The sequence below is a fragment of the Homo sapiens genome, chromosome 4, assembly GCF_000001405.40.
Source record: "Homo sapiens chromosome 4, GRCh38.p14 Primary Assembly".
Lineage (NCBI taxonomy): Eukaryota > Metazoa > Chordata > Mammalia > Primates > Hominidae > Homo > Homo sapiens.
The window spans coordinates 143,357,345-143,381,850 of record NC_000004.12 but is presented as its reverse complement, the minus strand read 5'-3'; the positions used below and the strand labels follow the sequence as shown (position 1 = coordinate 143,381,850).

The window sequence follows — 24,506 nt, the reverse complement described above, 5'->3', positions numbered from 1 at the left end:
GGGAGAGTGGAAGAGATGGAAGACTCTGGGGCAGGCTTCTAAAAGCAAAGCCATCTCCTGTTAAAGAAACTGGCCAAGTACTGTTCAGAAACAAGAGCTTCTTCAGTTGTCTTTATAATGCCTATAGTCATTCCACACGATTTTAAAAAACGGTCTTCACTGAACTCTAACAACAAAATGATCCTCCCTATAACAGACTGGAGCAAAATACCACCTCCCAGGGACTGTTCTAAGCACTTTATATCAATTAAGGTACTTGATCTCCAACGACCCAATTAGGTAAATGCCATTAGTCTCAGTTTACAGATAAGGAAACTGACTTAAAAGTAGGAGACATTTCAAGAGCACAGAGTTAGTAGACCCGAACACTGGCTCTTGGGCTACAGAGGCCAAGGGCTGAACCACTACAGCCGGTGATACCATACTGAATCTTTCTAGTGCTTACATCCTGTCTGCCTAACACCTTAAAGAGGCTGCAGACATAGCAACTCCCAGGGCTACAGTCTTGTTGCTGCCATGTGTTCCCTGGATTTGAAGGCAAGGGCAAAAGCTAACTTGCATTGAATACCTACTGTGTGCTAGCCCTTTCAGAAAGACAAATTCCCTGGTGATATAAGCATTATCATCATTATTCCTATATTACAGATGAAAACTAGATTCTGAAGGTTTCAGTAACTTGCTTAATGCAAGGGAGAGGTAGCACTGGCATTTGAACTAAATCTGTTTGTATGTGGCCCATGTTCCTCCCACTACAGAAAGTGTCCTGCCTCCTCAGTCACAGGTTGATCCCCTAAATGGGTGACTTCTCCAACAGCCAGAGATGATCTCCCATATTTTAACCAGTCATTTTACATATGAATGCTATTTGAACTACTGGGAAGAACATGGAGAGGGAGGAAAGATAGGTCAGTAAAATTCCAACACAACAGCAAAAAAACTCTCAACCCACAGAAAATCCCTACAATTAGTTAACGGAAAGCATATCTGGCATACACTCAGCGCTGCTGCAGAGAACCATGAACTGTAAATATACGTAACTATTTCTTTCTGGTGTACATAAACTAAACATCTGCAAATCATATTACATTTTCAGTGCACTAGAGGAACTCACTGTTGAAAAGAATTCTGTTGGCTGGGAGTGGTGGCTCAAGCCTGTAATCCCAGCACTTTGGGAGGGCAAGGAAAGAGGATCACTTGAGGCCAGGAGTTCAAGACCAATCTGGGCAACACAGTGAGACTCTATTAACAAAGAAAAGAAAACTGTGGTTAAATTCCTTTGTAGGGTCCAAAGTTCTTTTATAATAAACAATCCTCTAATTTACTTTCTAAGTCTTTGAATTTTCAAAAACAGTTATATTTTATTTGAGGCAGAACTATGGGAATATATAATAATTCAAATTATTTTACATAAGCTTGGGATGTAGTTCTGCCTTAAAATTGAAGAAATGAACCATTATATATGTCCAAACTTTCTCTAGCCTGTGGTTATATGAATTGCTAAGTTGCCTCATAACAGCATATAAATTAGTTTGATTTTATAGCTTGGCTAAGAATATCTTGAAATAAAAAGAGCACTAGAGATTCAAAATCTGATAAGTAAAATTAAAGATAGTACCATGAGACTTTTGTACACAGAATGTAAAAATAACAGGGTTTCAAGATTCAATATTCTCATTTTATGAATAAAAAAACTGAGGCCCATGTCAATATTCTCATTTTATGAATAAAAAAACTGAGGCCCACGATTTAAATGATCTCTTAGACTTAACCAGGGTCCACGTTAGAAATTCAATGGAAGAAACAAAATTAGAATCTAGTATGCTAATGCCTAATTCAAGGTATGGTTCAGAATGGACCCCCTCTGATGATATAATACTGTATTGTAAGCCCCAAAAGAGCAGAAACTGTGTCATATTGCTGGTTCTCTCTAAGCTCCTACAAATTACCTTACTTAATACATATTACTGGCCAGGCACAGTGGCTCACATCTGTCATCCCAGCACTTTGAGAGGCCAAGGCAGGATAGCTTGAGCCCAGGAGTTCAAGGCCAGCCTGGGCAACATGGCAAAATCCTGTCTCTACAAAACATACAAAAAATTAGCCGGGCACTGTGGTGTGCACATGTAGTGCCAGCTACTCAGGAGACTGAGGTGGGAAGATCACTTGAGCCCAGGAGGTCGAGGCTGCAGTGAGTGGAGATCACTGCAGGCTAGCTTGGGTGACAGAGCAAGATCCTGTCTCAATCAAGCAATCGATCAGCCGGTCAATCTAATTCTCCCTGTGGTGGGAGAAGGGAATCAGAGGTGGCTGATATAGTAGGCTACCTCATATTTCATTTCTAACCTTTATAGTTTGTTAGATCCTAGGGTCTCAGCACATAGTTATGCAAAATCACTGCTAACCGTACCTGGAGAACAGAGCATCGCAAAACCCAGATGTATCATCTTAAGGATATCCTTAAGGATGCAGGATTGGAAGGCAGGAGACACTTGCAAATCAGTTAACCTATCCGGCTTAAGATTTCTCTGCTCCAGAATGAATAAACTCTATTTTTTGTATCTCTAAGTCCTCTTCCAACATTAAATGTTATTGCTCTGCCTGTTTCCTGAATTTTATACATTTGACACAAACATTAATACTTTAATAAACCCTTTTCAACTTGCCTCTTTGTTTGCTGAATTATATGCATAACTCTGTTACATATATAACTCTGAATTGTAGTCCCCAGCAACCCCTACCCCACCTCAATGAATGAGGCTTTGGTCTGCAATGGCCACTGAGTCCCCCTTTTTTTCATAACACATTTTCTACCAGAAAAGCTCCTCGGGTTTGGGGGATTTGGCCCCTATCACATCTAGTTCCTGGCTTCGGGGCCTAAGGCTAGGCCACTGACATCAAAAATACTGTTGGGAGGCCATGGTCTCTCCAGAGAGGCTGCCCCTGTTTGGTCTCTGGTGAGACCTTGAGCAAATGAATGCTGCTCAGACTACTGGGAGATACAAAGGGTCAGCTGCAGAGTCTGGCAGTGTGAAGCTTGTCCCAGGCCAGAGGCACAAGGTCAGAGAGAGGCCAGGGCTTGGAGTATGAGCTCTGTCGTATAACCTGAAACTTGAGACGGTGGTTCAGAAAGATACTCAGACAAAGAAAAAACAAGAGAGGTTTAGAGACTAGAAAAACGAGAGAGAGAGAGAGAGAGAGAGAGAGAGAGAGAGAGAGAGAGACACTTTGGAAGTTCCAATAGGCTGTCACAAAAAAGCAAATGTTTCTATCATCCATGTAGGTCAAAATAACATGCATTTATTGTATTTGTGAGCGAAATAGGACCTTACTAATTGTTGCTAAGCATAAAGATTTTTGTTACTAATATATGAGTGTCAAGAAAAAGGCCAGGATACAAGATTTTCATAATTAAGAAAAGAACCAGAACATATATTGTATATTTGCATAGGACTTTACAGTTTGCAAATCACCTTCACACAAATTCTGCTCTGATCCACACAACTATCCCCATGACATTAAAAGAAACTGAGGCTTGCGAGTATGATTTACTTGTCCAAGATGCCCAAACTGCTATACATCTGCTACATCTTCAGGTCTGCTGGGAGTTCTTCTACCACACCACCAAGTCTCTTTAAAACTACTTTTCCTCAAAAGCAACCTTTTCAGAGAAACAAAATTTATCCTTATGCATTTTTACAATTTTTCAATTTTATTTCATTCTTAGTATTGAAAGTTGCTGTAGGTTGAGTATTATTAAACAGTGTTTTTATACGCTATACATCATTGCCCCTTGTACGGCAAAGCGTGTGAGTATATGATGAGTTAAATAATCTTTGAGGGCTAATATGGAAACTTTGCCACCACGTGTACTATACTATCATTTCTATGGGACGTTCTGTTCCAAGCTACATTCAACAGACCTAAAAGGGATTGTTTAAAACACATGAACGTGGCTAAAAATAATCACCACTGCAAACCAGAAATTTCTTGGATTTCACTTCTCTTTTTCATTTCATTTAAACATATACAGACATACACAGAGCTTGTTTTCACTGAGCAGCACATACGGCCTAAAAAGCTAAGTATTTCTGTATAACAGAAGAAATTTCATAAAACTCCCACATTATGATGGTGGATTACATAAAGAAGTGGGAAAGTCCCCTCTGTCCCCAAACTGTGCCAAGACATCTGACATGCTCTTATCTGCCAGGACTATACAGTTATTCAACTTAGAATCCATTTTTTAGATAAATTAGCATAATATCATAATGATCCAAAAAAGTTCAAAAAGAACTTCTTGCCAGAATAATTAACTTCCTGAGGTCCTCCAAAAGATCTGTTCTGAGAAAAACGTCTCCCTGCCAAGGCATTTCAAATACTAAAAGCAGAGTGGCAGATTTTCAGTTATAAATTTCAACAAATCACCAACCATACATGGTTGAAAGTTTTTTCAATGAGAATCAAGGTGTCAAGTTTAAGATACAAGAAACAAAAACCCTCCCCCCAACAAAAGCCAGCTTCCAAAAAGGAACTAATCAAAGCATTGTTGCAACCACTATGTCTATTAAAAGAAACAGGTGATCAGAACATTAGGATAAGTTCAGTTAACAAGTTCTTCTGATGCTTTTTATAGTACTTGGCTTATTAAAAATGGATTCATCCACAACTTTTCGGAAACATTTTTGTTGTGTAAATTCAGATGTGACTGTATTGAGCTTAAACCAAAGCAAACAAAACAAGAAAAAAAAAAAAACCACCAGACTAAATCTAAATATTATTCTGGAAAACATTCATCAGTTAGCTTTTACTCTACCTCAAAGAGCAGGTATTATGAGGCCTGGTGGCTCGAGACCCTGCCATTTTCTCCTTTGCCCTCAACTCACAACAGTCCTTCCAGTAGAATATTTGAAAAGACAGACTAAGAATGATAGGGATCAAAATAAAAGCAGCTTACATGCATGAGAAACTCTGAATTGCCTAATTTCAGTCCCAATGCGTCTCAGTCTGCAGATCCTCTATAATTTTTGATGAAGTACAACATAAACCTGTTTAAAGCTGTTTACAATCAAAAGGTACAAAGTGTGAGAACCAAATTCTCTTGGTTATTGAGATGAGTCTTAAAATAACCACAAGAGCTAATATTTAATTTGGTGTTCTTACTTTTATGTGAGATTTCTTAGTAAGACACAAAATGCCCTTATAAAACAAAACAATCTACAGAGGAAATATTAATATCTCAGCTATTTCTCTAGTATCATGATGGCTATTTTTCAGGTTTAGAAAGCAAGTCATTTTTTGAAAAAGGCCAATTATCATTACTTTAAATACTCTTCTATATCTCTTTTTTGATGCATGTACTTAGAATAGCCTCATATGAAGCCCAGATAGCTCCACAGGGCGATACTAGCAATCCAGCCACATTCCAGTGAGTTCTTTTTAATCTGAAAAATGTTCAACATACACCTTGAATTCTTTTTTAGTAGTGCTGCACATTAGTTTTTCTGTGTTTTTCTCCCTGACCTATTTCTATAAGCTTATGCTTTCTTATTTTGAGTAACCTGAAAGTAGACACATGTTCATGATCTGTAAGCAAACTTAAAACAAATAACCCTACAAGCCCTAAACAGTATTACCTCATATAGTTGTATTTTTTTCTTTTTTATATTCATTCCTTCCCTTAGGTTATAGTTCTGCAGGTATAAAGCATAAGTATAAAGGTGGAGGTGGTGTAGGGGGTTGGGGAGGGGTGCTGGCGCTGGTGTGGGGCGAGGAGTTCTCCAGGATACAACATTCCAGATGATTTCTAAGTTCCCTTCCAAAGCCACATTTCTATTACTTGCTGGTTTCTCTGGTGGGCATTTGTCCCAGACAGGAGCTCCTATGCAGCAGCGGTTCTCAATCTCAATTAGGGGGCGGCTATTTTGCCTCCAGGGCACACTTGGCAATGCCTGCAGACATTTTTGTTGTCACAGCTGGGGATGGGGTGCACTACTGGCATCTAGTGGGCAGAGACCAAGGATGCTGCTGCTAACTAAACACCCTATAATGCACAGGGCAGGCCACACAACAAACAATCATCCAGGCCACAATATCAACAGTGCAGAGGTTGAGAAGTCCCACTGTAGAGTAACAAGCTTAGGAAACTAAATGATTTGTCATATTCGGAAAACTGCAGAGGCCATTTCCTAGATTTGCTTTCATACTCCTAAACAGGTAGCTGAAGAGACTTTTAACTCCTAAAAAGGAAGCAGAAAGCAACAGCGTTTATTCACAGCCCCCTTTCTTCCCTTATCTCCCTCTTTCTCATCCACACCTACTGCATGATCAATGTTGGGAGGCAAGATAAGTCAGCAATGATCCCTGACTTCCAGGTGCTACCATCTAGTGAAGGAGATGGAATGGTCTCCTTACCACCAGGTGGCAAGTGCTCAGATACGGCAAGAAGCAATGGGGTTTGCAAAGTGCACACATTCTTTAAAAGGTCCGTTAGGTATAAAAACTGCATTTAATTAGCAGATACTACTAAGGAGCTTTCATTGGCAAGTTTTAAAATAGATCAATTCAGCTAGAAAAGTTTAGTCCCATTAAGAAAATGTGTTTTCAGGCCGGGTGCAGTGGCTGATGCCTGTAATCCCAGCACTTTGGGAGGCCAAGGCGGGCACATCGCCTGAGCTCAGGAGTTCAAGACCACCTTGGGCAACATGGTGAAACCCCGTCTCTAGTAAAATACAAAAACTTAGCCAGGCGTTGTGGCGGGCACCTATAATTCCAGCTATTCAGGAGGCTGAAGCATGAGAATCCCTTGAGCCCAGGGGGCGGAGGTTGCAGTGAGCCAGGATCACACGACTGCACTCAAGCTTGGGCTACAGAGTGAGACTCCAAGAGCATTCCTGGAGGAGCATTCTTGAAAAAGTATTCCAAGAATCACTGGGTTTACCAGCCTTACAAGTCATTCTGGATTCTTTCTGTAGCAGAGGTAAGTAAGGAAGGCCAGATGTCAAAGCAATAACTGCACAATGGGAACAACTTGCTTCCTAGAATACTTTGAGACGTATCCATAGGAGCCATACAATTTTTCCTCCAAACCCAGACACTCGTGAAAGTAATTCTTCCAGGACAACGGTAAAAACTAGGACAAGTGTTCATGAGAGCCAAGACTGTATGGCAGCACTTCAGAAGCAACTTTGGTTGGACAATGATGCCCATGTGAACCCTGTGATAGCCACAGATAGTAAACCTAACTATGACTACTACTTTTTTAGTCAACTAAAAGTCAGCTATCGTCAAAAGGCAAGAAATTTGACACTCAGTATAAAATACACACCGAACACATTCAAGCAAATGTCAAATCTAGAAAATCTGAACATACTGTGTTTATGAATCTAAAGTATAAGATTCCCACAATAGTGTGCACCAGATGGGATTTAGCCTTTTCTCTGCAGCACATGAAAAGCAAGAAAAATTGTTGAACAGGTTTTCCTTTCCTTTGACTAATATCCTGATTCCCCAATCGGCACAGGCACATTTCTGGTACTTGCAACCAATACAAACCCTCAGTGACAAGTCACCTGACTTGACTTGTTTAATCACATTCTGATCCATGGACACTTTGTACTAAGCAAGAGAAGCAACTCCTCTTGAAAGTCATGCTGCCACCAAAATGTATGGGTTCTTGGGCATTTGAGTGGAGTCAAGATGTTATACATATAATCTAGAAAATCCTATAAAATACGACACCAAACTCCTTGGAAAACAAAAAAGATCTCCAGGAAGAATGAGGTCAATACTCTCCCTGTCTTCACTCCAACTCATAAATAAGGAGGCATCTGACAAAAAACCCACTGTAGTCTTACATGGAGCTTGCAAATTAAAAACTAAACCAAAACATATACCAATGCTTTGGACACATAACTGAGACTGAATGAAAAAGAAAGGTCACTCCCTGCAATGTTAGAAAGGTAAAAATATATATATATATATATTTATTTATTTACAGAGAGAGAGAGAGAGAGAGAGAGAGAGAGAGAGGGTTTCACTCCCATCACCCAGGCTGGAGTGCAATGGTGCAATCTCGGCTCACTGCAACCTCTGCCTTCCTGGCACAAGCAATTCTTGTGCCTCAGTCTCCCAAGCAGCTGGGACTACAGGCGCATGCCACCATGGCCGGCTAATTTTTGGATTTTTTGTGGATTTGCATTTTTGCCATGTTGCCCAGGCTGGTCTCAAACTCCTGAGCTCAAGTGATCTGCCTACCTTGGCCTCCCAAAGTGCTAGGGTTATAGGCGTGAGCCACCAAGCCTGGCTTCTAGTATGTTTTTTGTTAAGCCTAGTACCAGATAGAAATGCCATCATGAAATGAAGACTGTATCTTCATTTTTCAAAATGTTTGGATAAAATGCAGAAATGTAAAATGGATGACATATTAAGGCTGTTCACAGTTATTTGAAATGTCATACTAAAACAGGATTAATTATTGAGCTGCTATAATCTGAAGGAAAGGTCTGGTGCTATTATTCTTTTTTAATTAAACAATTATATTAAACACCTAGATGAAGTTTGAGAATATGCTTGTTAATTATGTAGACAACACCAAGTTAGATGAAAGACAATATTCCAAAGGATCTTAATGTAGAATACTGCACAGACAGCGATGAGATGACATTTTAATAGAGATGCTGGGTAACATATTTATGTACATAAATTGTACGAACAGAAGTGCTGGAGACCTGGCTTTACAGCCTAGCTCAACACTGAGAGTCAAGTAACACAGATGTGTGTGTGTGTGTGTGTGTGTGTGTGTGTGTGTTTTTAAAGGAAATTCAATCCTCAGATGCGTTACTAAAATTAAATAACCAGATCAAGGGAAGAAATAGTCTAATAAGCATTACCTAAGTTGAAACCACATCTGGAAAGATGAGTTGAATTCTGGGAGCATCATTTTAAGAGGAAATTAATTATCTGGAGGAAGACCAGGACAGTTAAAGAGTATAGACATCATACCATTTGAGAAACTGTTGGCAAAACCAGAAAGGTTTGGCCTAGGGAACACTCCATGCAAATATGATGGCTTTCTTCAGCTGTTTACAAGGCTATCATGGGGATACCCCTGAACAAGTTTCCACTTGCCAATATCTCTTCAAAAAGTAAATGCTATACACCAGGCTCAGCTTGACAATAAGAAAGCAAACATGACCTCTCTAACATGGCCATTTGATTCAAATAGTCTAAGATGAATTTAGGCTTTTTGGCCACTGCATTACACAGTTGACTCAGAATGACTTCAGACCCAATTTAAGCCACAGTTTTCTCTTGTGACCATGGTTAACTGCTGTTAATCTCAGTAGTTATCACCTACAGAGACCATATTATGTATTTGCTTAATGTCTGTCTCTACCTACTACAATGTAAGTTTCATGTAAGGCAGAAGCTTTGTCTTGTTCACAGCTGAATACCCAGCACCAAGAACAAGTCCTGGCCTACAGCAAGCATTCAATAAATAGATGTTGAATAAGTGAATGCCTGTTAAACAAACACCAAAAATGTCATAAAGGGACCAAAAGACAGAAGGCAAGAGAATAGCAAACGGAAGAACTAGCAAGCAACAGAAGGTACAGGAAGGAACATTTCAATGCAAGAATAACCTTCTACAGTTGTTCAACAATGGAACAAGATACATCTTTTTTTTTTAAACTGAGATGGGGTTTCACCATGTTGGCCAGGCTGGTCTTGAACTCCTGACCTCAAGTGATCCACCCACCTGGGGCTCCAAAAGTGCCAGGATTACAGGCACTAGCCACCGTGCCCAGCCAAGATGTTTCATAATGTAAAATTTTGCTCTCCATAATTGAATACATTAAACTAGATGCTGAATGAACAGGAAGTCTGTATTTTTGGATGCTTGAACTGGGTAACCTCAAGTATTTTTGAAAGTCAATGATTCTTCATAAAAACGAGTTCTGTACAGAGCCCTCAGAAATAATACCACAAATCTACAACCATGTGATCTTTGACAAACCTGACAAAAACAAGAAATCGGGAAAGGATACCCTATTTAATAAATGGTGTTAGGAAAACTGGCTAGCCACATGTAGAAAGCTGAAACTGGATCCCTTCCTCACACCTTATACAAAAATTAATTCAAGATGGATTAAAGACTTAAATGTTAGACCTAAAACCATAAAAACCCTAGAAGAAAACCTACGCAATACCATTCAGAACATAGGCATGGGCAAGGACTTCAAGACTAAAACACCAAAAGCAATGGCAACAAAAGCCAAAATTGACAAATGGGATCTAATTAAACTAAAGAGCTTCTGCACAGCAAAAGAAACTACCATCAGAGTGAACAGGCAACCTACAGAATGGGAGAAAATTTTTACAATCTACCCATCGGACAAAGGGCAAATATCCAGAATCTACAAAGAACTTAAACAAATTTACAAGAAAAAATCAAACAACCCCATCAAAAAGTGGGTGAAGGATATGAACAGACACTTCTCAAAAGGAGACATTTATGCAGCCAACAGACACATGAAAAAATGCTCATCATCACTGGCCATCAGAGAAATGCAAATCAAAACCACAATGAGATACCATCTCACACCAGTTAGAATGGCGATCATTAAAAAGTCAGGAAACAACAGGTGCTGGAGAGGATGTGGAGAAATAGGAACACTTTTCCACTGTTGGTGGGACTGTAAACTAGTTCAACCATTGTGGAAGTCAGTGTGGCGATTCCTCAGGGATCTAGAACTAGAAATACCATTTGACCCAGCCATCCCATTACTGGGTATATACCCAAAGGAATATAAATCATGCTGCTATAAAGACACATGCGGACATATGTTTATTGCGTCACTATTCACAATAGTAAAGACTTGGAACCAACCCAAATGTCCATCAATGATAGACTAGATTAAGAAAATGTGGCACATATACACCATGGAATACTATGCAGCCATAAAAAAGGATGAGTTCATGTCCTTTGTAGTGACATGGATGAAGCTGGAAACCATCATTCTGAGCAAACTATCGCAAGGACAGAAAACCAAACACTGCATGTTCTCACTCATAGGTGGGAACTGAACAATGAGAACATGTGGACACAGGGCAGGGAACATCACACCCCGGGGCCTGTTGTGGGGTCAGGGGAGCGGGGAGAGATAGCATTAGGAGATATACCTAATGTAAATGACGAGTTAATGGGTGCAGCACACCAACATGGCACACGTATACATATGTAACAAACTTGCACGTTGTGCACATGTACCCTAGAACTTTAATTTAAAAAAAAAAGAGTTCTGTACTATCAATGAGGACAGCAGGGATATCCCACTCACTATAACATCTGCACAGGACTGTTTCCACTTAACTCCAATCTACTCCCCACCTATTTGTACTCTTTGAGCCTGAAGAGTCTGATCTGTCAAGGACTGCAACAATCCTTGTTCTACACTGGTTGTGTTTAGTCAAAAGGGACAATGGCTGGAGACAGAAGAGCCCAGGGTCAGGGAACAGAACTGCTGGCTGTGTCCCTGTATGTTCTCAGTGGACAGTCTCCCTTGACTGCAGACCTCAGCTCCTATAAGGCAGCCATTTGTACACAGCCAGTGGTTTGATAACATTTCCTCCTCTTTCTTCCTCACGTACAGATATTAGCCCTTGCCCCATACCCTTTTACTTGCCCTTGTATATTCTTACTATACCCTACATTTTTACTGTCTTTTTATGAAATGTTCCCCAAATTATCCAACTTGTGTGTGCCATCCGCCTCCCACCAGGTCCCTGACCAATGCAACACCTAAGTGAGTGCTTATGCCATTTTTGTTTGACCACTTACAAGGACAAAGAGGGAGCACACTAGGTTTTGGAGAACTGTAATTGTTAGACATATCTCCTTTATATTCAGCCAACTCTGTAACTCTTATTCATTAATTTTAGTGCTGCTATGGAAATAACACTAGGCCTTTTGCTTATTTGAAGCCAGTTTTCAAAAGCAGTTATAAAGATGGGGAGACATACAATAGGCACGGGTCACAACGTATGAGTCTCATGTCTCAGCACAACTGCATAGGCAGCTTGACTTCCTGTGCCTTCTGTAATAGCAGCTTCCCGGTTTAGCAAGCATGTTGGCTTCAAATCCAATCATTCCTTCAGAAGCAGGAAGCAATGTCAGGTTATCATGCAACAATATCAAATCTGGGGCACCAACAGCAGTTATGAGGAAATCATATATATATTGTGTTCCTTCTCCAAATATGAGTTTATAAAACAGCAAACACCACAAAACTTTTTTCATCTTCTATTATTGAGGCTGACCTTCTGTGGGAATTACTAGAGCAACAGGATATTTTCATCCTGCATTGATTTTTTCTTATAAAAAGTATATCAAGTGTAAAAACATTGTCTTTTCTCACTGTAGCCAGAGTGAAAAACTAAATGAATTAAAGTGCTTGGTAAGAGCTGGTATTTCTTGGCCAGCTGCGGTTGTTCACACCTGTAATCCCAGCACTTTGGGAGGCTGAGGCAGGCAGATCACTTGAGGTCAGGAGTTTGAGACCAACCTGGCCAACATGGTGAAACCTCATCTCTACTAAAAATACAAAAAAATGGCCGGGTGCGGTGGCTCATAACTGTAATCCCAGCACTCCGGGAGGCCAAGGTGGGTGGATCACCTGAGGCCAGGAGTTTGAGACCAGCCTGGCCAACACGGCAAAACCCCGTCTCTACTAAAAAATAAAACAATTACCTGAGCGTGGTGGTGCACACCTGTAATCCTAGCTACTCGGGGGGCTGAGGCTGGAGAATTGCTTGAACCCAGAAGGTAGAGGTTGCAATGAGCTGAGATCATGCCACTGCACTCCAGCCTGGGCAACAGAGCAAGACTCCATCTCAAAAAATTGGCCGGGTGTGGTGATGGGCACCTGTAATCTCAGCTACTCGGGAGGCTAAGGCAGGAGAATCGCTTGAACCTGGGAGACAGAGGTTGCAGTAAGTCAAGATGGCGCCATAGTGCTCCAGCCTCTATCTCAAAAAGAAAAAAAAGAGTTCGTATTTCTTTATATGGCCTGCTGTCACAGAAAGCACCAAGTATTTCTTTATACAGCCTTGTATCGCAGCAAGCAAACAAAAGAGCAGGTGAGAAAAATGCACATTGAATGAGTTTAGACAAAAGAAAATAAATATAACTTTATAAGTATTATAAGCAAAGAGGAAAAAATCTGAAGAACTCTATAAAATATGAAGAAAAATCTCCGAAGGAATCTACTGCCAAGAACTACTTGTATATTACAATTAAAACATTTTAAATTGCATATATTTATAAAAATTAGGCATATTTGTAGTAACTTGGAAGAGTGGGAATGGAGAAGATAATGAAAACTATAAAGCTTTTATAATTCCTACTCCAACAAGTTTTCAAACTGTTTAAATATCTAAGTTTTAGACAATCACCACCAGCATCATCCACTCCAAATACAGCACAGTGTAAGAAAACTGACAATTGTTATGAAGAAAACAAAAATTAAGAGATCCCTAAGAGTGTGGTACCAATACTGGGCTGCTGTCCTGCCTATGGCTCCCTTTCTCTGATCTTTGACCACATAAATTAATTATCATTAGAATAGAAGAAATTATTTGCCAGGTAGTTAGGAATGCTTGTTTTTTTTTTTTCCTCAAAAAACAGGACCTATCAATAATATATTTTTTCCCTTTCAAAGGCCTGTGGATGTGACTAAAAATACTAGTCCACGATCAAAGTCCTTTCCACTCTGCACCTGAGAAGAGTGCTCTGTGGACTGCTCCATGATTTGAACTTAAGGACCCTGGCCGAGCAGCAGTGGCTCACGCCTGGAATCCTAGCACTTTGGGAGGCTGAGGCGGATGGACTGACTGAGGTCAGGAGTTTGAGACCAGCCTGGGCAACACGGTGAAACTCCATCTCTACTAAAATACAAAAAATTAGCCAGGCATGGTGGTGGGCACCTGTAGTCCCAGCTACTTGGGGGGCTGAGGCATGAGAATTATTTGAACCCGGGAGGCAGAGGTTACAGTGAGCCAAGACTGTGCCACTGCACTTCAGCTGGGGCAACACAGCAAGACTCTGTCTCCAAAAAAAAAAAAAAAAAAAAAACCCTCATCTGATTTGCACTTCTATCTCTGACTTAAGGTTGATCCAAATAGGGCATCAAAAAACATGGAAGACATACCCTCAGCCTTTGCACTTACAGGAGAATTTATTACAGATTGTTTCATTAAGGTATTGGAACTTATACCTCTGTAAAGAAAAAAAAAAAAAAAGCAAACATTTACTGACCATATCCAAATATGGCATGTCCAATATAAAAGTGAAAAGCAATGGCTCTGGGGCTTTCCTGCAAAGAGGTACTTTATATACATTTTCTTCGTTTCACCAACATATGTTCTCACTCTCTCCCTTTTAAACTTAGGACTTCTAAGTATATTGTATAAATAAATATCGAATTTCCTTTCCAGGGACATTGAAAATGCCACCAGTCCCACTACCAGATATTGGGTCCATTTCAACAAGCATTTATTGAGTTCCAACTACATGCACAACATTAGATCACTGTATCAAGGATGGGAAGATAGGTTTTCTCCCAAAATGTAGTTATCCTCCTTAATTCCTGAGACAAAGTTTTGTAGCTTCCCAATTAGAAATAATAACTACCAATTTACCCTACATTCCAGCCTTTGCAAGGCTATTTCTGATACCAACAGAAATGTCCCTGTCTCATGGTTAGAATCTGAAATGAGAGACAATTATACAAGTAACAAAAAGCACAAGCTAAAACTGTGGCCTGGACAAAATACAGTGAGAATACAGTAAACACTGTTATTCAATCAAGGGGAAAAAATTTGGGAAAAAAGTACCATTTGAGATAGTCCTTAAAGAAGGAATGGCACCCAACCACGAAAGACATGAGACGTGGACAGAGACAGGTAAGAGAAATGAGCCTGGGAAATTATGGAGGGTCTTGAGGACCATGTGATTTTCAATTCAAAAATTGAATTGAAAATCAATTTTTTCAAATTGAAAATTTTCAAATTGAAAATTTCTAGCCTGGACGATAGAGCCAGACCATGTCTCAAAATAATAATATTTAGTGTAGTCCATTTTGGATAAAGTGTGATATATCCACACAATGAGATACTATTCAGCAATAACAAGGAAGGAGTGTGCCTGCGTATGTATGTATGTATATGAGGTGATAGTGAGGGAATAACAATAACAGTGTTTACTGATAGTGAGGGAATACCTAATATAGAAACTTTGAAAACTACAGAAATACATTTAGAAAAAACACAAAAATATTTGCAATCCCAACACCCATATATATTATCCTTATGGAATAAACTTTTAAAGTCAAGTCTCTGTCATTCTATTTTTATGTCAATTTCATAATGTATGTGGCTCTACTCTTTTTATAATAAAAAGCTAGAATTAAATGGTTTGTTCCTGGGTTTTTCATTTTTATAAATAACAACAAATTTAGAATTATTTAAAAGCTATAATGGTGGGGTTACTGCTCTTAATTGTTATTAATGAATGTAAATATGCTTTCTCTATTATCTAAAGATAAATTTGATAACAGAACCACATACAACAAGGAAATACGCAAATGAATACAGCATAAAAATCACAGAATTACTGAATTTCAGAGCTGGAAGTGACCTTGTGGACTATGAGGCTAATTTCGATTTAAACAGAAATCTGACTATGACCTCACCAGGATAGGGTCCCTATTTTATTCACGTATGATTCCTTTGTACAAAGCCCTACATGTGCCAGGCACCCTATAAATACATTTGAAATAAACTAGCAATGTTTGTTGGATGAATGAAATTCATTTTAATGTAATGATTTATAATCTCAGAAAGAAAGACTTCTGCCTCTGGTCTTTCTCCAAAAAAATGGCTTATTGTTCATTTATGTATTAGTAATGAATAAAAGCCTGACAGGAGAACATGTAATGGTAGTCCCCAACTAACGGAAAAGTTTTAATCCAAAAGTCTGCATGTAAGTAGATTCATTTGAACTCAATGCATTTTCCCATAAAAACAATGTTGTACATTATGGGTACTATGGCCAGCCACGAAAGCTCCCTTAAGTATACAGTATAGTTCCAACAGACACTAACCACCATGTAGAAAAATGCTCTATGGGAAAATGTGTTCAGCATCCATTGTGGGAACCATGTTCTTGCTGCTGGCCAGGAGGCAGGCCCCTTCAAGATCAGAGATTGGGGGATACACAGGTGAAAAATCAGAACAGGGTAAAGTTGTCAAGAGGGGTATAGAGAAAAACAGTGTACTCCCCCAATCCCCCTTTCATGCCTCACTCATTCACCAAGCAAGCACATCTTGGTGTCTTCTATATGTCAAGTCTTGTACTAGACATTGATGGGGCACATTAGAGACCAACATTGACATGGCTTTTATCCTTCTGGATCTTACAGTCTAATAGGGAAGAAAGATACTGAAGGATTAGAAAAGAGAATGGGGATGAGGGTGAATGGAGAGTAGGGGTATGATGAAGAGAAAAGAATATTAGTAATGTTAGGTATCATTTCCCCCTCCTTCTTCCTCTACCTGCATCTGCTTCACAAATGGGGTAGAGAGGATGAGGAACCAATAACTAAAAAGTAGATGCAGGGCCGGGCGCGATGGCTCACGCCTGTAATCTCAGCACTTTGGGAGGCAGAGGCGGGCGGATCACAAGGTCAGGAGATCGAGACCATCTTGGCTAACACGGTGAAACCCCGTCTCTACTAAAAATACAAAAAATTAGCCAGGCGTGGTGGCGGGCGCCTGTAGTCCCAGCTACTCGGGAGGCTGAGGCAGGAGAATGGCATGAACCCGGGAGGCGGAGCTTGCAGTGACCCGAGATAGCGCCACTGCACTCCAGCCTGGGTGACAGAGTGAGACTCCGTCTCCAAAAAAAAAAAAAAAAAAAAAAAAAAGTAGATGCAGGGAGAGCTTTAATTTTTGTCTCCCCTGCTTCTACTCCTTTTCACAGATCTCGATGCCAACTAGTGCAGGCCAGAGTTGACTGGCATTGATGTGGGACGCGGGGAGTGAACAAGCAAACACTGGGGCTGTAGGAGTGAAGAGAAAGGAATCAAAGGAAGGAAATTCCCATCCCCCAGAACAAAGGAGAAACATGCTCTTGTGATGAGCACGCATAGGATGAGGCTGCACCTATGTCAGGAAAAAGCCGTTCTGCTGAAGGCCCATCCGAGACAGACTTGACTCTGGACACCTAGCCCCACAAACATTGTCTGCTCCAACACATATCCAGTTTTCCCCATAATTTTATGTAAACTACTCAGGTATACTCTCATTCTTACTTGAAACTAAATTTGTATGTCTATGCCTGTGTACTCTAGAAGTTCTCTAAAGAGGGAGGAATTAAATAAACTGTAATCACTCATCCTTTCTTAAGTTTAATTACCATGATGCTTTAAGGTGACATTAGGCTCTTTTGATTTGCAAAAAGACAAACAAATAGCATAAATGGTCAGGAGATTTCACAAGCCCATGCACGTAGGAAGGAAAGTGACAGATTAACATCAATGTGGGCAGATACAAAATAACAGACAGAGAGAATGAATCTAAGTCATTCTTTTTTTTTTTTTTTTTGGAGACGAAGTTTCCCTCTTGTAGCCCAGGCTGGAGTGCAATGGTGTGGTCTCAGCTCACCGCAACCTCTGATTCCCGGGTTCAAGCGATTCTCCTGCCTCAGCCTCCCAAGCAGCTGGGATTACAGGTGCCTGCCACCATGCCCGGCTAATTTTTGTATTTTTAGTAGAGATGGGGTTTCACCCTGTTGGCCACACTGGTCTTTAACTCCTGTCCGCCCAACTCAGCCTCCCAAAGTGCTAGGATTACAGGCCTGAGCCACCACGGCCAGCACGAATTTAAGTCATTCTCGAGGGATGATGGCCTCTAAAGCAACAGATGTAACTCTAGGGTGGGATGTGGGGAACATCCTAGTCCACCTAGGCTGCTCACTGCCTGGGTGTGGCCCCAAGGACCACCAGAGCAAAGGCAGCATTAAAAAACAAGAAACTAAAAATTCAAACACAAAATTGCATGTGTCCACTGAGTATATGAACCTAAAACAGTGCAGGGGTTCTATCACCGCACCTCATGGCATACTCACAGAGAAGGTAAAGATTCTGCAAATTTGATTTCAAACTACAGAGGCGAGCATAACTTCCCGCTTGGCCATCCACTCCAATGGCTTATTTTCCACCTTATCCTATTTTGGTTCCTGGCTCCCAACCACACTTTCCTTCTTCAACTATGCTCTTGGGCTCCCCTAACAGGTTCCTATTCAGGTTTTCCTTCTACCAAATAAAAACCACTCTGTCTCTTTCTAACCCACCTCCAGCTCATGTTTCATTAGGTCCTATAGTACTACTTCTCTTACTCTGCAAGTTCTTCCCAGGACCACCTCACCAATGCCCACAGCACCCAGGAGCTCTTAAGGTCTTATGACTCCTGAGTCTGTAGCTCTGGTCCCAGTCACTCTCCTGAACCTAGCAGGATCTCACAACTCATGATAAATGATAAGTAGTGGATTATTAAGAGAAACAATGCAGGACTCTCAAAAATTTCTAGTTTAAATCAAGGAGGTTATCTGTGCTTTTTCACAAAATTTCTATGAGGAGGAATGCTGGTATGATAGCAGGAAGAGAGGTGTTGAAGCAGATACATGCGGGTTTGAATTTCAGCACTGCCATATGCACTGTGTGATTTTGGGAAGTTACTCTGAGCATCAGTTCCTTTACAAAATGGGGACAATAATGTCTACTTTTCAAGGCTGCTGTATGAATCAGAGATAAAATTATAAAACAAAGAACTATCAAGCACACAGCAACTGTTCAACAGAGTATTATGCCTATGTGTCAGAGGCATTTGAACCAGAGTGACTCCATCTTGAATGGGGCTGGGTAAAATAAGGCTGAGACCTACTGGGCTGCCCTGCCAGGAAGTTAGGCATTCTTAGTCACAGGATGAGATAGGAGGTGGGCACAAGATACACTGTCACAAAGACCTTGTTGACAAAACAGGATGCACAGAAAAGGCTGGCCAAAACCCACCAAAACCAAGACGGTTATGAAAGTGAGCTCTGGTCATCCTCACTGCTCATTATACACCAATTATAATGCATTAGCATGCTAAGAGACACTCCCATCAGCGCCATGACAGTTTACAAATGCCATGGCAACATCAGGAGTTACCCCTTAGGGTCTTTTTAAAAGGGGGAGAAACTGTCAGTTCTGGGAATTGCCCATCCCTTTCCTGGAAAACTCATGAATAATCCGCCCCTTGTTTAGCATGTAATAAGCATAAAAATAGCCAACCAGCAGCCCTCGGGCTGCTCTATGGAGTAGCCATTCTTTATTCCTTTACTTTCTTAATAAACTTGCTTTCACTTTACTCCACAGATTTGTCTCGAATTCTTTCTTGCAGGAGATCTAAGAGCCCGTCTCTTGGGGTCTGGCTCAGGACCCCTTTCTGGTAACATATGGATGCTGCTATTACGAAAATACTGAGAAACTATGGGTTCTGTTATAACATTTTTCTCATAACTATTATTAGCATCTTAAGTAATGTAGGAAGGTAGCTGTTGTCCTTATTTTTCTATCCTTCCACCTCCACCTCCAGTATGCCATGTAGGGTGGACTTATGTGATTCTTTTAGGTTACCCAGCATCTGAACTTTCCTTCCTATGTTTGGAAAATCATTAACAATTAACACTACAGGCCAGGGGTGGTGGCTCACACCTGTAATCCCAGCACCTTGGGAGGCCAAGGTGGGGGGATTGCTTGAGCCCAGGAGTTCAAGACCAGCCTGAGCAACATAACAAGATCATGTTTCTTAAAAAAAACAAAAAACAAAAAAAAACCACACACAACACTTCAAAAGCTGAAAACTCCAAGTAACTGCTTTTTCAACCACCCCTGCAATCAGACTGCAGTCACATTACTAGGTACACTGGCTCCACCAAATAATCCATCCCAGATTTAGAATCTCAAGCAGTTACAAATAGTAAGAACCGTACAGAAACCTGGGCCAGAGGTAGGGGCAGTGATGCAGTTCCCAAAGGCAGCGGTGGTGGCATTTGGGGTCTCGTGTGACTGTGCTGGTGGTGCAAGATGCAGGGCCTATGATCATGTGCCAGGAGGCAGTGGCAATATATTCCCCAGATCAGTTCAGCATCATTGATCCTGGCTGATAAGCTGCCAAGGTGAGTTCTCAGCTTTTCCAGAGAAACTGTGGCTACCTAATATTCTTAATAAACTCCTTTTATGATTAAATTAGTCAGAGATGTCTATTGCTTGTAACTGAGAATCCTGACTGATACTGCAAGTCAGGTAACATTTCATTGCCTTTGGTCAAAGGCCACTATAAGATCTGCAGAGCAAACAAAACAGTGAGATCTCCCCAGTAAGAGTAAGTCAGGGTGTCAGAGTGAGCTGCTGAGCAAGATGTTACTAGCATTTCTGAAATATATTTCTTAAAAGGAAGGACAAGATGAATAAATCAGCATGCTGTTTTAATAGTAATCTAAAATATGATTTTGCCTATCAGACTGAAAGATGCAAAGGACACTGGCTATACCCTAAAATGCATCCACAGTTACTTTCTGGAATGTCTGAAGGTTGCGTATTGCAAAAGAAATCCCTCCAAAAAAAAAAACTCCTTCCCAAAAACTTGAATTTTTAACCCCCTGCTTAACTATGCCAACAGAAACAGTGATGCCATTCCATTAGGCTGGCTCAGTCAGTAGCAGCACTTTATGTTAGCCTGATAGCAAAAATATGTCTTGTTGGGGAAAGGATGAGGTAGAAATTAAAAAATGTAAGTTTTGAAACTGGAAATAAGCACTCACACTTTGTTTTTAATTAGAATTGATATTTCTCCTACAATAATCTGACTTCAATTACCTTGGGCAATGCATTTGATTTCCCCTAGTCAATAAAAGTAAATTGTATAGAAGTTCACCTTAAATTCTCCTTTTGGCTTATTACCAGTAACTTTTACCATGGTACTTAAAAAAATATTTTCAGTAAGACCAAAATTGCCGCAGAAGTCACACGAAAAACAAAACTTTGGCACATGAAAAAAATTCTTATTAACAACAAGCATCAGGATTCTGAGAAAAATCAACCCACGAGACAACTTTTTTTAGCATGATGGCAAGAATTTGGGAAAAGGGAACTTACAGGAAAAAGAGTTTGTTTTGCCAATTATTCATTCACCTTTTTTTCCTTCTATTTTTGTAGTGTCCAAGTAGGATTCCTTACCCCAAACCTAATTTTATTTTCCATTTTGTCCTTTAAAGATCTCAATCTTCTGATTATAAAATCTAACAGTTAACCACTGAAAAGGCAACAATTCCATGAATGCAGGTTTTTTAACCTTTAGTTCAAAAAACAAAACTTAGAATGGAAACAAAGTATTTTTTATCTCAAATAATAAAAGCAAATTTAAAATAGAAAAATAACGTAAGAAACAAAATCAGAATCAGGAGAATGTAAACTGAAAAATTTCCCAGTTCTTGAATTCCGGTTTTTTAAAATTGATGTGATATATATGGGATTATTCTCCCCCTCATTATTTCAGAGTAGGACACAGAGTGGTGAATCTACTTATACAAAAGAAACATCTGTCTTCAATCCAGGATTCATATAAAGTTAGATCATTTGCACAAGGCCATATAGTTTTATGCAACATACAATAAACAGCCATTTCCTCTTCTACTCTCTAAAATCATTATAAACCAAAGACACTAAAAAATCAAGCAGGCTGCAACTTGCCCAACCTACAGAAATGAGAATCTCTTTTTGGGTATTTTGAACTAACAGTGACTCATGGAAAAAGGCAGGTTGCTGTCAAATTGAGATCTTCAAAGTTAGGGTTCCCCAGCGTTCCTTTGAACCAAGGAACCCTGAAATTGGAGCAAATGCACAGTATAACACAATAGGGAGAAACCATCACCATCACTTTAGGGGTTAACAAACACCCTTTGCCACTGGCAACCCCTGAAAATCTCAGAGAGACCCAGTAGGGAAGGAAGAGGTACTCTAGGAAAGACTTTGACATCCACCATTAGATTCCAATCTTTGGCTGGCCTGATTATAAATGAATATGAAAAGGACATACTCAACAATGACCAGGGCACACAGCCTTACAGAGAGCTTAGAGCACTCACACAGGGGATAAGGCACAACTTTTCATAATGTTAAACACTGAAGAGCAGTGATGTTTTGGGAAACCCAATAATCCTACAACTGGACACAGTATCATGCAGCCACTAGAAATGGTCATCACAAAGCACATGGAAATGTTCTCTCATTATACACCGAGGGAGGAGGAGAACAGGACTTGTCTAGCCTTTACTGTTTTCATATTGGGTAAAGACAGATAAAAATGCTTCCGTGGGTTTTTTGTTGATTTGTTCTGCCTGTGTACAAAACTCATTAATGGAAATAGTTAATAATCTACTTTCAGTATCAAACATTTTCAGTATCAGATCCAGCATGCTACATCTCATCTGGATGAGGGGGTCATCATCTGACCAGAATTTACTATAGTTTCACATTTATTTCCTGTTACTCAGAGAAAACGGAAATGGCCCCAAAGGAGGCCAACCCTGGGGCACCTGACAGCTGGGGTTCTTTACGACATCACTCCTTAAGTACTGTTTAACTTCTCATACCATTTAAAATGTTATCACACATTTACTTAGCTCTGCAGTTTATAACCAACCTACCAAACGGGACAAGCCAGTCTGGATTATACAATATGTAAATAAGCCAGGGAGCTAAGGAGCAAGCTGACAGCAGGACAAGTTGGAACCGGGATAGAAGTTAAACCTTACTACACCTGAAGGCAGCCTCTTCATTCACTTTCTCTTCATAGTGCTTTATAACTAAAACATGGAGAATACAAACACCAATTCAAAAAATTCTACGTATCCCCACAAATACCAATTAGTAAGTCACCAAAATTAATTAAAGGAAACATACAAGTCAATATTTAAATTTCATTTAGCTTTTTTAATCTGATGAACCTACTGAATACTCATATTTGGGCCTGAAAATATTAATGCATTCTAAAGAGATTATCAGTAATGTGTATCTTCTTCTCACACACACATGCTGTCAGCTTAAATGTGGGCACAGTGGCAGAACTGAAGTTTCACTAACGTTGTTTTAGGACTTGAATAAATTGTTTTAGTTTCATGTGTGTACTTGTTTGAAAAACAGATTTTATATTCACCACCTTCAGAGATGTTGAACGCATATCACGAAACTGGTAACACTGCATGAGTATTCCTATTGTGTCAAATACAACAAATTGACATGAGAGAAGCTCTACAAATGAAATATTTAACATTTTATAATAAAAAAGAAAAATACCGAAACAACATTCAAAGGTATTCATCAACTCACATTGCTTCATGAAGATTACAATCGCCTATAAATTTGTCTTTTAAACAGGCTGTTACAATTCAACTGGAAAAAAAGCTATGAAACTTAAAATTGTGTCTATACAATTAATTATGAGTAGATGGTGATCATGTAAGAATCACTGACAAAATTACATGTAAATCATTTAAGAGCAACAAAAGACAGGTGAAATTTAATAACTTCAATCTAAAAACTTTAAGGCATACACACACGTACACACAACGTATAAAATATATAATCATTAAAATGTCTGTTGAAAATTTAGGGCTTGGTTTAACGTACCGGAGTTCTTTCCTAGGTTCTTAGTTTTTAAAAGTGGTTTTTTAAAATAGCAATTTATATAACAGACACATTTCTCAGCATAGTTGCATCCTCTTTCCCTTCCACTAAAGGAGAGATTTACAAAACATGTATAAAAAAATAGGAATGCTCAAATTTATTCTTCCCTCTTTCTGATAATTCATATATATATATATATGATTTAAAACTAAGTCTTAAGAACCATCTTTGAAGAGATAAAGGAAAGGAAAAAGCCCTTAGGGTAGAAGGAATCATTTCCTGGAAATACTACTAAATACACACTTAAGGAGGGGTGAGAGTTGGCATCATGAGACTGTATCTTTCTATTCCAAAGGGTAAGTACAAGACAGGTTGCAAATTGGCCCAAACTATGGAAACTACCACACTGTGGTCAGCACCCACAGCTTCCGCAGATTCTAGATTCAAATGCCACCTCATCACACTGTCATCCCTACCCACCCTTCACAACAGGTAAACAGGAAAAAAATAATCAAGGTGAATGATTTTCAAAGAGTTCCCTGGTGATTTTGATACTCCCCTCACCTGTCCCCCAGAATGAAAACTAGAGAGCTAAGTGTATGCTGCCTCATGTTCTCACCCTTAAAACCCTGTATATTAAAATATCTGATAACCCCTGGTTCCAATGGACTCCTCCCTTGCCCAGTTTTAGAGTCCAAAGTTGTGGTTTCAGCCAGACAG

At 39.8% G+C, this 24,506-nt stretch overlaps 1 protein-coding gene across 10 annotated transcripts in view, besides 1 other annotated feature; it reads right to left on the bottom strand.

Moving 5' to 3' along the window:
* GAB1 (GRB2 associated binding protein 1) overlaps positions 1–24,506 on the bottom strand; it is a 137,690-nt gene that overhangs the window by 92,715 nt on the left and 20,469 nt on the right. For 5 of the 10 annotated variants that reach the window (XM_017007966.2, XM_006714168.5, XM_047449973.1 and 2 more), the window contains exon 1: positions 1,112–14,108. The exons of the other annotated variants lie outside the window; for them this stretch is intronic. The gene's annotated coding sequence lies outside the window, so the exon portion shown is untranslated. Of the gene's footprint in view, positions 1–1,111; positions 14,109–24,506 lie in introns of those variants that run through there. 10 annotated transcript variants of the gene reach the window in all.
* Positions 9,002–9,191: an enhancer, noted in NCBI's record as "active region_21942". NCBI's record gives its function as "activates an Ori minimal core promoter by ATAC-STARR-seq in GM12878 lymphoblastoid cells {active_cell/tissue: GM12878}" and the evidence as "EXISTENCE:reporter gene assay evidence [ECO:0000049][PMID:35858748]".